Raw genomic sequence first — 14,141 nt, 5'->3', positions numbered from 1 at the left:
ATGAGCCAAGAAATCCCAGCCCCAGTCCCGGAGATCTCATTGCAGTGGCTGCTCTGTTTGTCCCGCCTGGTTCATTGGCTGATGAAAGCCACATCCCCTGGCTGGGTCCAAGAAACACAGTTGGGAAGCTGCTTAGCACCTCGAAGAAACCCCCACACCCCTCCACCCAGGCAACAACTAGAGTCGCATGGGCCCTCCCCGTGTGGCACAGGCCACCATGCTCCCATGACTCCGCCTCCCAAACATCTTCTGATTCTACCACTCCTCGCCATGGCGCCTGCCCCTTCATTAGCCAGCCCACCACCTTGTCTCACTCAGATTATTCCAGCATGGATTATTCCAGTCTCCCTGACTGTAGTCTAACTAACCGCCCTTGCGATCCATCCTCCACATGAACCAAGCCAGGGATATTTACTAGACCCAAATCTCATGTTATCCTCGCTCCAAAGCCTCCAGGGCAGCTCATGGGTCTCGAGATAGAGTTTGTTTTTTGTTTTTTTTTTTGGAGACAGAGTCACTCTTTCACCCAGGCTTGGGTACAATGGCACAATCATAGCTCACTGCAGCCTTCAACTCTCAGGCTCAAGAGATCCTCCTGCCTCAGTTTCCCAAAGTGGTGAGATTACAGGCACGAGCCAGTGCCTGGACTAATTTTTTTTTTTTTGAGTCTCACTGTGTCACCCAGGCTGGAGTGCAGTGGTGCAATCTCAGGTTCCTCCGCCTCCTTCAAGCGATCCTCCTACCTCAGCCTCCCAAGTAGCTGGGACTACAGGCCCGTGAAACCATGCCCGGTTACTTTTTGTATTTTTAGTAGAGACGGGGTGTCACAGAAAACTGTTTGTACAGAAAATACAAACAATTAAGTGGGCATGATGTTGCACGCCTGTAGTCCCTGCTACTTGGGCTGAGGTGGAAGGATTTTTTTTTTTTTTTTTTTTTTTTGAGACGGAGTCTCGCTCTGTCGCCCAGGCTGGAGTGCAGTGGCGGGATCTCGGCTCACTGCAAGCTCCGCCTCCCGGGTTCACGCCATTCTCCTGCCTCAGCCTCCCAAGTAGCTGGGACTACAGGCGCCCGCCACTACGCCCGGCTAATTTTTTGTATTTTTAGTAGAGACGGGGTTTCACCGTTTTAGCCGGGATGGTCTCGATCTCCTGACCTCGTGATCCGCCCGCCTCGGCCTCCCAAAGTGCTGGGATTACAGGCGTGAGCCACCGCGCCCGGCCGAGGTGGAAGGATTGCTTGAGCCTGAGAGGTGGAGGTTGCACTGAGCCGAGATTGTGCCACTGCACTCCAGCCTGGGGCACAGAATGAGACCCTGTCCCAAAATAATAACAATAATAATAATAATAATAATAATGTGACTGGGCACGGTGGCTTCAGACGGCCAACAGGCCAGGCTGGTCTTGAACTCCTGACCTCTGGTGATCCCCCTGCCTCAGCCTCCCAAAGTGCTGAGATTACAGGTGTGAGTCACTGTGCCTGGCCTAATTTTTTAATTTATTTTTTAAAGAGACAGGGTCTTGCTATGTTGCCCAGGCTGGTCTGGAACTTGTAGCCTCAAGCCATCCTCCCACCTTGTCCTCCACACCTGGCCACAGGATAAAGTTTTTAGGCCTGCTCAGTCCCGTATTCATCCACACTCACCTCTCCATGCTTTCTCGAACCCCATAACATGGGAACTTCTCTCAATTCCTCAAACATACTACAGGGCCTTTGCGTATGTACTTCCTAAGGCCTGGAATGCCATATGCGACGTATCCACTTGGCACAAACCAGCTAGTGAGGCCTGGCGTACTGTTCACTGTTTCCTAAAGCTGTTTATGCCCCACCCTTCCACCCCAATTCATTCCCTCCTTGGGCCTTGATCTCACTTGGTTATTATGAAATCATTCAGATCTGCAAACCAGTAAAGAAAACTGTGTCTTGGCCAGGCTCGGTGGCTCACGCCTGTAATCCCAGCACTTTGGGAGGCCAAGGTGGGCGAATCACGAGGTCAGGAGTTTGAGACCAGCCTGGCCAACATGGTGAAACCCCGTCTCTACTACAAATACAAAAATGAGCCGGGTGTGGTGGCGGGCACCTGTAATCCCAGCTACTCGGGAGGCTGAGGCAGGAGAATCGCTTGAACTCGGGAAGCAGAGGGTGCAGTGAGCCGAGACCACGCTACTGCACTCCAGCCTGCGCGACAGAGCGAGACTCCATTTCAAAAAAAAAAAAAAAGAGAGAGAGAAGACTGTGTCTGGCCAGGCACAGTGGCTCACGCCTGGAATCCTGGCAATTTTGGAGGCCAAGGCAGGTGGATTGCTTGAGCTCAGGAGTTCAAGACCAGTCTGGGCAATATGGTGAGACCCCGCTTCTACAGAAAATACAAACAATTAAGTGGGCATGGTGGTGCATGCCTGTAGTCCCCGCTACTTGGGCCAAGGTGGAAGGATCGCTTGAGCCTGAGAGGTGGAGGTTGCAGTGAGCCAAGATTGTGCCACTGCACTCCAGCCTGGGCCACAGAATGAGACCCTGTCTCAAAATAATAATAATAATAATGCTACTGGGCACAGTGGTTTATGCCTGTAATCCCAGCATTTTGGAAGGCTGAAGCCGGCGGATCACTGGAGGCCAGGAGTTCGAGACCAGCATGGCCAACATGGCAAAACCTCATCTCTACTAAAAATGCAAAAATTAACCTGGCATGGTGGTGCACACCTGTGATCCCAGCTACTCAGGAGGCTGAGGCATGAGAATCGTTTGAACCCAGGAGGCAGAGGTTGCAGTGAGCCGAGATCGCACCACTGCACTCCAGCCTGGACGACAGAGTGAGACTCTGTCTCAAAAAAAAAAAAAAAAGAATAGGACATTGCACATCTCACTGAAGCCTTCTTCGAACTCCTCCCCAGTCTCCTGCCTCCGCCTCCACCCAGGGTGACCACTGTCCTGAATTTGGAATTCCTCACTCCTACGCCTGTCTTGATACTTTTTTCTTTTTTTGAGACAGAGTTTTGCTCTTGTTGCCCAGGCTGGAGTGCAATGGCGCCATCTCAGCTCACTGCAACCTCCGCCTCCCGGGTTCAAGCAATTCTCCTGCCTCGGCCTCCTGAGTAGCTGGGATTACAGGCATGCACCACCACGCCTGGCTAATTTTGTATTTTTAGTACAGACGGGGTTTCTCCATGTTGGTCAGGCTGGTCTCGAACTCCCGACCCTAAGTGATCCACCTACCTCAGCCTCCCGAAGTGCTAGGATTACAGGCGTGAGCCACGGCGCCTGGCGCTGTCTTGATACTTTTACATCGATGCACATCCCTGAACAATATACAGCATTTGTACATAGGTTTGGTTTTTTTGTTTTGTTTTGTTTTGAGACAGGTCTCTGTTGCCCAGGCTGCACTGCAGTGGCGTAATCATGTACATGGTTGTGTGTGTGTGTGTATACATATATACACACACACACATATATATACAACCCGCCTCGGCCTCCCAAAGTGCTGGGATTACAGGCGTGAGCCACCGTGCCCGGCCACACTGCAACTTCTCTGTCTGCTCTTAAGTGGTGGGTGTCTAAGCTGTCTCCAGCTGCAGTCATTACAATGCTGCCCTGCCGGAGTCTGCTTGTACCTGCCACTTTGGCCCATGTGCTGGAGTTGGTAAAGGTTTATAACCAGGAATTTTTTTTTTTTTTTTTTGAGATGGAGTCTCACCCTGTTGCCCAGGCTGGAGTGCAGTGGTACAATCTTGGCTTACTGCAACCTCCGCCTCCTGGGTTCAACCCTATATATATATATATAGGGCTTCACTATGTTGCCCAGACTGGTCTTGAACTTCTGGACTCAAATGATCCTCTCACCTTGGCCTCTCAAAATGCTGGGATTACAGGCGTGAGCCACCACGCCCTGCCTCATGTACATGTTTTTAACTTTACATGCATGACTTGCTTTGCGTGTTTTGTTTGCTGTGTGTGACATCACCACAATCTGTTGGTGCTATCCATCAGTGGTGATGAGCCCGGCTGCAGTTCCTTCATTTTTTTTTTCTTTTTTTTTTTTTTTTTTGAGACAGAGTCTCTATCACCCAGGCTGGAGTGCAGTGGCACAATCTCAGCTCACTGCAACCTTCGCCTCCCAGGTTTAAGCGATTCTTCTGCCTCAGTCACCCAAGTAGCTAGGATTACAGGCGTGCACCATCACGTCCAGCTAATTTTTGTAATTTTAGTAGAGACGGGGTTTTGCCATGTTAGTCAGGCTGGTCTCGAACTCCTGACCTCAGGTGATCTGCCCTCCTCGGCCTCCCAAAGTGCTGGGATTACAGGCGTGAGCCACTGTGCCTGGCCCGCAGTTCCTTCATTTTATCGGCTGCTGAGCAGCTGTCATCTGACTGCACTGCGATTTCTTTCTTTCTTTTTTTTTTTTTTTTGAGATGGAGTTTCCCTCTTGTCGCCCAGGCTGGAGTGCAAAGGCACAGTCTTGGCTCACTACAACCTCTGCCTCCCAGGTTCAAGCAATTCTCCTGCCTCAGCCTTCTGAGTAGCTGGGACTACAGGCTCTCGCCACCATGCCCAGCTAATTTTTGTATTTTTAGTAGATACTGGGTTTCACTATGTTGGCCAGGCTGGTCTTGAACTCCTGACCTCAGGTGATCCACCCACCTCGGCCTCCCAAAGGGCTGGGATTACAGGCGTGAGCCACCGTGCCTGGCCACACTGGGACTTCTCTGTCTGCTCTTAAGCGGTGGGTGTCTAAGCTGTCTCCAGCTACAGTCATTACAATGCTGCCCTGACGGAAGTCTGCTTGTACCTGCCACTTTGACTCATGTGCTAGAGTTAACAAAGGTTTATAACCAGGAATTTTTTTTGAGACAGAGTCTCACCCTGTCACCCAGGCTGGAGTGCAGTGGTGCAATCTTGGCTCACTGCAACCTCCGCCTCCTGGGTTCAAGCAATTCTCCTGCCTCAGCCTCCCGAGTAGCCAGGATTACAGGCACCCGCCACCAAGCCCAGCTAATTTTTGTATTTTTAGTAGAGTCAGGGTTTCACCATGTTGGCCAAACTCCTGACCTCAGGCGATTTGCCCACCTCGGCCTCCCAAAGTGCTGGGATTACAGGTGTGAACCACTGAGCCTGGCCTGGAGTTGGTGAAGGTTTATACCCAGGAATTTGTTAGGTAAAGGGAGACACATGGCTTCAGCTTCACCAGATGTTGCTAGATTGGTTACACTAATAGCCCTTGTTGGTCAACTGTTCTTCATCTATCAGCCCAGGCACAAAGGTGCCTCTGCTCATGTCTATTTCTTCCAAAGAAAAGGATTTAACTCCACGTGTTGATGGCCCGACTGTCCAATCCCCTTCCCAGACCCTCCCACCATCTTCTCCACCTGGGCCTCTTCTGAGCTTCCCCATTCAGGGCAGTCAGCACTTTATACAATAATCAGAATGAGGACGGGCATGGTGGCTTACGCCTGCAATCCCAACACTTTGAGAGGTCGAGGTGGGTGACCAGCCTGGCCAACATGGTGAAGCCCTGTCTCTACTAAAAATACAAAGATTAGCCGGGCGTGGTGGCGGGCGCCTATAATCCCAGCTACTTGGGAGGCTGAGGCAAGAGAATCACTTGAACCCAGGAGACGGAGGTTGCAGTGAGCCGAGATCGTGCCACTGCACTCCAGCCTGGGCGACAAAGCAAGACTCCATCTCAAAAAAAAAGAAGATTGTTTCTGGCCGGGGACAGCGGCTCACACATGGAATCGAGCACTTTTGGAGGCCAAGACAAGCAGATTGCTTGAGCTCAGGAGTTCGAGACCAGCCTGGGCAACACGGTGAGACTCCGCCTCTACAGAAAATACAATTAGGTGGGCATGGTGGTGCGTGCCTGTAGTCCCCGCTGCTTGGGCTGAGGTAGAAGGATCGCTTGAGCCTGAGAGGCAGAAGTTGCTGTGAGCCGAGATTGTGCCACTGCATTTCAGCCTGGGCCACAGAATGAGACTCTGTCTCAAAATAATAATAATAATAATTTCAGCTACTTGGGAGACTGAGGCAGGAGAATCATCTGAACCCAGGAGACGGAGGTTGCAGTGAGCCGAGATCGCGTCACTGCACTCCAGCCTGGGCGACAAGAGCAAAACTCCGTCTCAAGAAAATCATCATCATCATCATCAGAATGAGGAGGCTGCCAGTCAGAGCAGCAGTGACCCGATGGGACCGACAGCCACAGATCTAATCCCAGGTGTACCTCTTCAGCTGTGTGCCCTTGGGCAAGTCACTTCACCTCTCTGAGCCTGTGTTTCCTCTCCTGCATAATGGGGACACTAAACTGTAACTGACAATAGAGGGGTCATGATGACTGCATGTAATGAGCATGGCAATGCAATGGGCGCTCCCTGAGGAGTCGCTATCACACGCATGCACCACTGCACCTGGCTGACCTTGAACAGAGCCACTGTTATTACTTTTGGAGTCCACAGAGAACCACCACCAACTTTTCATCGCAAAACAACTTTGGCTGTAGTGACAGATACCCCAAGTAAAGCTGGTTGAAGAAAAACTGCCATTTATTGGCCCACGCAACGCTTCAGGTATGTCCAGATCCAGGAGTCTTTTTTTTTGAGACAGAGTCTTGCTCTGTTGCTCAGGCTGGAATGCAGAGGCGTGATCTCGGCTCACTGCAACCTCCATCTCCCAGGTTCAAGCGATTCTCCTTCCTCAGCCTCCTGAGTAGCTGGGATTACAGGCGCGTGCCACCACGCCTGGCTAATTTTTGTATTTTTAGTAAAGACAAGGTTCGCCATGTTGTCCAGGCTGGTCTTGATCTCCTGACCTCAGGTGATCCACCCGCCTCTGCCTCCCAAATGCTGAGATTACAGGCGGAAGCCACCACACCCGGCCCAGTTCCAGGAATTCTAATGACACCGTTAGGAAGCTGGCTCTGTCCCTCTCTGGGCCACTCTCTCCTCCACGTTGGCTTCATTCCTAGGCAGGCTCTCCAAGTGGTGGCTCCAGGCCTGCATCTGTCCAGCTTAATCACTGCCCCGAACAGATGGAGCTTCTCCTGCCCAGCACTTCCCACCTGGATCCCAGGGCTGCTCCTCACTGGCCCAGGCCGGGTGACATGCCCATACCTGAGCCAATCGTGATGGGCAGGGAAAGGATGGTGACCTTGGCCCAGGTCTGGGTCACGTGTTCAACAATCTCCAGGCCAGATGCGATCATTCACCTTAAATCCCAGGGAGACACTGAGCACAGTGGCTCATGCTTGTGATCCCAGCACTTTGGGAGGCCAAGGCAGGAGGATCACTTGAACTCAGGAGTTCAAGACCAGCCTGGGCAACGCAGTGAGACCTCCATCTCTACAAAAAATAAAACATTAGCCGGGCATGGTGGCATGCGTCTGTAGTCTCAGCTACTCAGGAAGCTGAGCTGGGAGGATCACTTGACCCCAGGAGTTCAAGGCTGCACTGAGGCATGATTGCACTACCACATTCCAGCCCGGGCGACAGAGTGAGACCTCATTTCCAAAAAAGAAAAAACAGGCTGGGCGCAGTGGCTCACACCTGTAATCCCAGCGCTTTGGGAGGCCGAGGAGGGTGGGATCACCTGAGGTCAGGAGTGTGAGACCAGCCCGGCCAACATGGTGAAACCCATCTCTACTAAAAATACAAAAATTAGCCAGGTGTGGTAGTGGGGGCCTGTAATCCCAGCTACTCAGGAGGCTGAGGCAGGAGAATTGTTTGAACCCAGGAGGCGGAGGTTGCAGTGAGCCAAGATCACGCCACTGCACTCCAGCCTGGCGACAGAGGGAGACCCCATCTCAAAAAAAGAAAAAAAAAAAAAAGGAAAAAGAAAAAACAAACACACAATCTCTAAAACTACATGGAATGAGATTGGGAAAGGAGTGAATTGCAGAGGAAAGCCAAGGTGAAATTCCCAAAATAAGGGGAAATGGATCCCGGACAAGTAAAGGCAATAGATGCTCACCACGCCCTTGCTCCTCAGGATGAGGTTCACAGAACAGCAGCATCAGAATCACACAGGAGAGGCTCAGAAATGCAAAGTCTCAGGCCACGTCCTAGGCGAACTGAGTCAGAACCCACCCCACAGCAAAGTCTGCCGGTGAGTCACCTACCCATCAAAGTCTCAAAAGTGCTGTGCTGCATATTAACTTTTTCAGTTACTTAGACAATTTTTTAAGTTCTGTTTTATTGAGAACCACAAAAGGTAAGAACTAAGAGAGTCCTCCCAGGTCATCAGGTCCCATCCCTTGGTCTAAGGATGGTGAAACCATTGTCACAGCCAGCAGCTGCCGTGTTCTGGGACTGTCTCATGGGGCAATGTGTCCTCACCCCCAGCAGTGCCAGCCCAGGTCAGAAGGCTTCATTCAGAAGGGGGGTGTCACAGCACCTGGCTGAGCCCCCATGGAGGATGGAGACCCACAGATACACACAAACACACAGAGACATCTCCAAATCTCTGACTCAGACTCGCACACAGGCACACACAGACGCACGCTCAACACAGACACACGCAGGCCTTTATTCTATTACACAGAGTAGGGCTGGGGCCAGGGCAGGTCATTCTCAGGCTGCGTCAGAAGGTGCAGAGCGTTCGGGGGACACAGGCCGAACCCCAAAGTGATAATAAGTTACGGGGGGATTTCTCAGGCTGTTGTCAGGCTGGAGCAAGGGCAGGACGCCATGTGAGGACCCCAGAGCCACTTCCAGCTGCCCAGCTCAGCCGTCCCAGGCAAGCCTGGTTCCAGGACAGACTCGGCCTCCACTGAAACACACCAGGGCAGGGAGGGATACGGATCAGGAGGCTGACGGGGTTCAGCAGGTACCCAGAGACAGAGGGACAAGCCAGAGGTAGGGTTGGGCAAGGGGGTCCTGGAGGGAAGGAGTAGAGCCTGTGGGCCCAGGGCAGGGTGGGGACAGGGCAGGCCTCTCACCAGGCCCTCAGTTCAGCTCCTGCAGATTCTCGTAATCTGGAGCCCCCTCTTCCTCCACTTCCTCTGCCTCCTGGGAACTCAGGGCGGCTGTAAGGGAGGGGAGGTTGGTCTCCAGCTTGCAAGCTATCCCCCCAAGCCCAAAGCAGCTACCCCAGCTCCTGCCCCTCCCGCAGAACACACCAGGCTCAGTCTTAGCCGCTCCAGGATGCAGTTCCTGGGACACATTCACATACTCCCGGCTGCCATCTGTGGGGACAGATCAGAAGGAGGGGCAGCCACGCAAAGGGGTCAGGAGGGCGAGAGAGCAAGGGGACGCCCAGACAGAGGGGGCAGAGGGTGTGGGTAGCCCCAGGGTGGGATCTGGTCACACTGAGAGCATGGTGGGGCAGCGGGGTGCAGGGGCAGGCACCGACAAGCACCGGTCACTCACCCAGAGACGCTTCTGCGCTCTCCCCGCTCTCCGGAACGTTCACGTAATCATCAATGGACTCCACTGTGGAAAAGCCAGGCCCACCTCGGCACTGTGACCAGAGACCCTTGGCCACAGGTTCCCAGAGAACCCCCAACCTCAGCCATGCAGAGCTCCCCAACGGTAGACCCCAGAGGCTTCCCACACAGCCACCCCCATTAGCCCCACAGAATGAAGAGAGGGGACTCCAGGCTGGCAAGGATGGTGTTGGTGATGGTGATGGTGGCCTGGACAAGGGCAAGGGCTGTGGAGAGGGAGGGAGGAGGTCCACTTGACTGGGACTGAGGAGAGCTCACAAAGGGTCAGGCCCCAGCACAGCCCCTAGGCTGGGGAGCAGGGATGTAGTGCGGCTCGGAGCAGTGGGAGTTTGGTGGCGTGTGTGGAGGGGACATGACACACTAGGCCCAGCAGGCACCTCCTCCCCCCGACCCCCATCCCCACCTGCCCCCTGCCAGCCACTGCCTATGTCTCACTCCCATGTCAGCCCTTCATGGCGCCTGTCACCATCCATGTTATTTGGGAGCTTTTTGTTTGTTTTTGTTTTTCTTGAGACAGGGTCTCGCTCTGTTACCCAGGCTGGAGTGCAGTGGTGCAATCTCGGCTCACCGCAACCTTGACCTCCTGGGCTCAGATGATCTTCCCACCTCAGCTCCTACCAGGCCAGGCTAAATTTTGGAATTTTTGTAGAGATAGGGTCTCCCTATGCTGCCCAGGCTGGTCTTGAACTCCTGGGTTCAAGTGACCCACCTGCCTCAGCCTCCCAAAGTGCTGGGATCACAGGCATCAGCTACCACGCCTGGTTATTTGGTTCTTTTATTTTGTTTATTTATTTATTTTTGAGATGGAGTCTCCCTCTGTCACCTAGAGGGCTGGAGGGCAGTGGGGTGATCTTGGCCCACTGCAACCTCTGCCTCCCGGTTCTAGCAATTCTCCTGCCTCAGCCTCCTGAGTAGCTGGGATTACAGGTGCCCGCCACCACGCCCTGCTAATTTTGGTATTTTTAGTAGAGACTGGGTTTCGCCATGTTGGCCAGGTCAGTCTCGAACTCCTGACCTCAGGTGATCCCCCCACCTTGGCCTCCCAAAGTGCTGGGATTACAGGTGTGAGCCACCGTGCCCGGCCTATTTGGTTCTTTTATGTGTTTCTTGTTTGTTTTTGAAGACCGCCCCGGTTCAATCCCAGCTCCAGCACTAACCAACCACATAACCTCAGCCAAGGGACCTTACCTCTCTGTGCCTCAGTTTTCTCCTCTGTAAAATAGGGCCTGTCACACAGCAGTGCTGTTAAACAGATAAACCCTGTATCCCACAAAAGGGACAACTGGAGCACAGGAGGGCGCGGGCAGGCCCGGGAGCCCCAGGGCAGTCAGATTAGTGAGTGAACACATGTCAGACTCTTAGCAAGGCATGCAGGAGGCCCTCGGTGAATCTTAGCTATTTTATCTTTTTTTTTTTTTTTTAACACAAGGTCTCACTCTGTCACCCAGGCTGGAGTGCAGTGGCATGATCTCGTCTCACTGCAACTTCCGCCTGCGGGGTTCAGATGATCCGCCCATTTCAGCCTCCTGAGCAGCTGGGACTACAGGCATGTGCCACCACGCTTGGCTAATTTTTTTTTTTTTTTTAAAGATGAGGTTTCGCCATGTTGCTCAGGCTGGTCTTGAACTCCTGGGCTCAAGCAATCCTCCCGCCTCGGCCTCCCAAAGTGCTAGGATTACAGGAGTGAGCCACCATGCCCAGCCAGCTATTTTATCAGGACAGTCTGCCTCCTTAACTGTTATATCCACAGCATTAGCCCAGCAGAGGCACATAGTAAATGCTGAATGAATGAATGAATGAATGAATGAAAGAAAAGAAGTACTTGGATACAGTCTGGAGCTCAGGAGAGAGCAAACTGGGAATCTGGATGGCAAACAAAGCCAGGGTATAGAAGTGATAGCCCAGGACAAGTATATACAGAGAGAGCAAAGCAACAGAAAACTAAAGAATCCCGGACATTGAGGAAAGCCCAGAGGATGTGACCAGGCAGGATGAGACCATGAGGAAGGGAGAAAACCAGCTCAAAGGAAACAGGGCAGTGCAGGAAGCAGAAGAAAACTGACACACACAGACACACAAGACAGCCTCTAATTAACATCCTTAGAGATGTTTCATCCATGAAACAAGAACAGGAGGCTATAAAAAAAGAACAGCCAGAGAACGAGAAAGAGCTTCTGGATAGGAGAAATAAAATTGCAGTGGAAGGGTTGAAGAATACAGACAAGGAAATCTCCCAGATGATAAAGGAAAGGACACAGAGATAGGAAAGAAGAGAGAGAAAGCTGAGAAAATCAGAAGAACAGGGCCGGGCATGGTGGCTCACGCCTATAATCCCAAGCACTTTGGGAGCCCGAGGTGGGAGGATCACTTGAGCCCAGGAGTTTAAGGCCAGCCTGGGCAACATAGTGAGACCATCTCTACAAAAAAAATTTTTTAAATAAGCTAGGTGTGGTGGCATGCGCCTGTGGTCTCAGCTACTTGGGAGGCTGAGGCCGAGTAGCCTACTTGGGAGGATCACTGGAGCCCAGGAGTTCAAGGCTGCAGCGAGCTACAATGGCACCACTGCACTCCAGCCTATCCCTAAAAAAATTTAAAAATAAAAACAAATGCCTGACTCACTGGAGAAGGCACTGTCTCGGATGCCAGGGGTGCTGAGTGCAGGAGCTGATGGGGCAGCAGTGCTAGTGGCCGGGGTGCTGTCAGGAAGCACCACCCTGAAAGGAAGTGAAAAGGGCCGGTGAGCAAGGGGGGACGCACAGCCTCAGCCCTCACCTCCCACCTCCCACCTGGCCACTCACAGGTAGCCTGGGTTGTGATAGTCGTCCTCATCCTCATCCGCATCCTCACAGGCTGGTTCTGGGGGTAACGACACAGGGGTCAGCCTAGTCCAGGACGGACCCCAGACTCCCCACCCAGCCTGGGCACCTCGGATCCCAGACGCACCCTCGTTCTCGTAGCTCGCCACACTGTTGGCTTCAAAGAGAGGGTGAGAGGGAGACTAAGTCAGCTCAGGCCAGGCCTATCTTCTTCCCAGCCCCCGCCGCCTGAACCCTTCCCCACACTTACCACCATCAGAATCCCGCCGGGAAGATGGCGTCCGGTGGGAGCCCCCAAGGGGCTGCGGGGATCTTCTGGGAGTCAAAGGTCAGGGGTCATGCCTGAGGTGGGGCTCAGGGGGCAACAGCAGTTGCAAAAGGGAAAGGGGCCCCCAATCCAAAAAAGTGAAGGGGTAGAGAGTGGAGTTTGGAGGGGGAGGGGCTGAGCTTTGGAGGGGCAGGGGCTGAGCAGCTACTCACGGGATGGGGAGCAGGTCTGGCTGGCTCAGGGGTGGGTAGGAGGTGACAGGTGGGTAGGCAGGTGGCCAGGGGGCAACCGTGTCTGAGGACACAGAACCAAGTTGAAAGAAGGACTCCGGACATCGTCAAGGCCTCAAAGAACAGACTAAGCCCCTGAAAGCCCCACACCCTGGACAGGCCTGGGGGAGCCATCTCCCCTCTCCCAGCTCAGGTCAAGGCCATGTGGGCAGCCCCAAGGTGGCAGGGGAAGTCTGAAGGTTCACGCTCACTCCCACACCAGGGGACCCTCTCCCTGGCACCCAAGGTAGGGGACCCTCCTTGTACTCACGAGGCCGTTTGAACTGGATGCCCCTTGGATACAAACTGGTAAAGGAGACACAGCTTGGGGATGGGGCTGGAAGATGGAGGATGGAAGCCCCAGCCCTGCCCCGCCATGGGGTGTGGAGGGAGACCCAGGGCGGCTGGGGCGGACTCACCTATCTGAGGATGTGCTGTCGTAGGAGCCTGGGAAAGAGAGGGCTGGTGAGGCAGGAACAGGGGGTGCTTAGGGCAGAAGGTGCTGGGATCCAGGGACTCTCAGAGGCGCTGGGATCAGGACGGAGGCAGGGACAGAGCCAGGACAGACACAGGGGCTGGGAGTGGATGAGGATCCCGTCGGTGTCCCTGGGCCCTGGGTACCCCCACCAGTTTCCCACTCACCTGGCAGTCTGTGGCAGTGCACACACAGTGCCATCAACATGGCCAGGATGGGCAGCAGCAGGAGCCCCAGCACGCAGGGGACCAGGATGGCCTCCTCCATCTGCAGGGGAGCTCGGAGCAGGCTGGCTGCACCCCTAGGCCCCTCAAGGGCAGAGTCAAGGCCAGATGAAGATGGGGTGAGGACCGGACCCGGCAGGGAGCAGGGGGCAGGTAGGCACCAGGTGGCAGGGGAGCCCGGGAGGAGGCAGCTGTGCCCTCCCCGGGGCTCCCGGGATGGGTCCCCTCTTTTACTGGGCTGAGTGTGCGTCCAGCTGACTGTGGAAAGTCCCTGCTCCCAGGGTGGTCAGACCAGGGCCTGGGCTGAAGTCGGGGGATCCAGTTACCCCTGCGTCCCAGCCCTACCTGCCCCTCCTCGGCGCCCGCCTCTCCGTGCCCGCCCTCCCGCCCGCCTGCGGCAGGAAGCTGTGGTGAGCGCCGGGCGAGGGCAGGAAATCATCAAGCTCTCAGCCGGCTGCACCCGCCCCCTTCCCACCCCACCCGCCAGTGGGGAGGGGGCAGGAGGAGGCCCGGGAGCCACCCCAGGCACTCACCAAGGGTCTGCTGGCCCCCCCCAAGACGGGGACAGCCACCTGCCAGCTGGCAGCCGTGGCCTCCATATCCAGGACCCGGGGAGGCAGCGAGCAGGGAGGCCCTGACAGTGGGAATTCTGGGGTACA

The 14,141-nt window shown here is 54.3% G+C and overlaps 1 protein-coding gene across 4 annotated transcripts, besides 3 other annotated features; it reads right to left on the bottom strand.

Annotated features, from left to right (window-relative positions):
• Positions 4,648–4,848: a silencer, noted in NCBI's record as "peak2553 fragment used in MPRA reporter construct". NCBI's record gives its function as "represses an SCP1 promoter by STARR-seq MPRAs in K562 erythroleukemia cells {active_cell/tissue: K562}" and the evidence as "EXISTENCE:reporter gene assay evidence [ECO:0000049][PMID:32103011]".
• LAT (linker for activation of T cells) lies at positions 8,159–14,140 on the bottom strand. 4 transcript variants are annotated; one of them, NM_001014989.2, is made up of 13 exons: positions 14,016–14,140; positions 13,426–13,567; positions 13,203–13,230; positions 13,055–13,089; positions 12,727–12,808; positions 12,497–12,561; positions 12,374–12,403; positions 12,229–12,286; positions 12,050–12,144; positions 9,354–9,416; positions 9,104–9,169; positions 8,924–9,010; positions 8,159–8,754 (listed from the first exon to the last, which is right to left on the bottom strand). In NM_001014989.2, exons 1-12 carry the CDS (start codon positions 14,079–14,081, stop codon positions 8,931–8,933), a joined length of 810 nt encoding a protein of 269 aa, NP_001014989.2. In that variant the 5' UTR covers positions 14,082–14,140; the 3' UTR covers positions 8,159–8,754; positions 8,924–8,930. The 4 variants fall into 4 exon arrangements, with proteins under 4 accessions (NP_001014989.2, NP_001014987.1, NP_001014988.1 ...); NM_001014987.2 differs by lacking the exon at positions 14,016–14,140 and having other exon boundaries at positions 13,426–13,891; NM_001014988.2 differs by lacking the exon at positions 14,016–14,140 and having other exon boundaries at positions 12,497–12,558; positions 13,426–13,891.
• Positions 13,771–13,830: a silencer, noted in NCBI's record as "silent region_7324". NCBI's record gives its function as "represses an Ori minimal core promoter by ATAC-STARR-seq in GM12878 lymphoblastoid cells {active_cell/tissue: GM12878}" and the evidence as "EXISTENCE:reporter gene assay evidence [ECO:0000049][PMID:35858748]".
• Positions 13,851–14,130: a silencer, noted in NCBI's record as "silent region_7323". NCBI's record gives its function as "represses an Ori minimal core promoter by ATAC-STARR-seq in GM12878 lymphoblastoid cells {active_cell/tissue: GM12878}" and the evidence as "EXISTENCE:reporter gene assay evidence [ECO:0000049][PMID:35858748]".

This window comes from Homo sapiens, chromosome 16 (genome assembly GCF_000001405.40).
Source record: "Homo sapiens chromosome 16, GRCh38.p14 Primary Assembly".
NCBI lineage: Eukaryota > Metazoa > Chordata > Mammalia > Primates > Hominidae > Homo > Homo sapiens.
The sequence above is the reverse complement of the archived record's forward strand: the minus strand, read 5'-3'. Positions and strand labels throughout refer to the sequence as shown.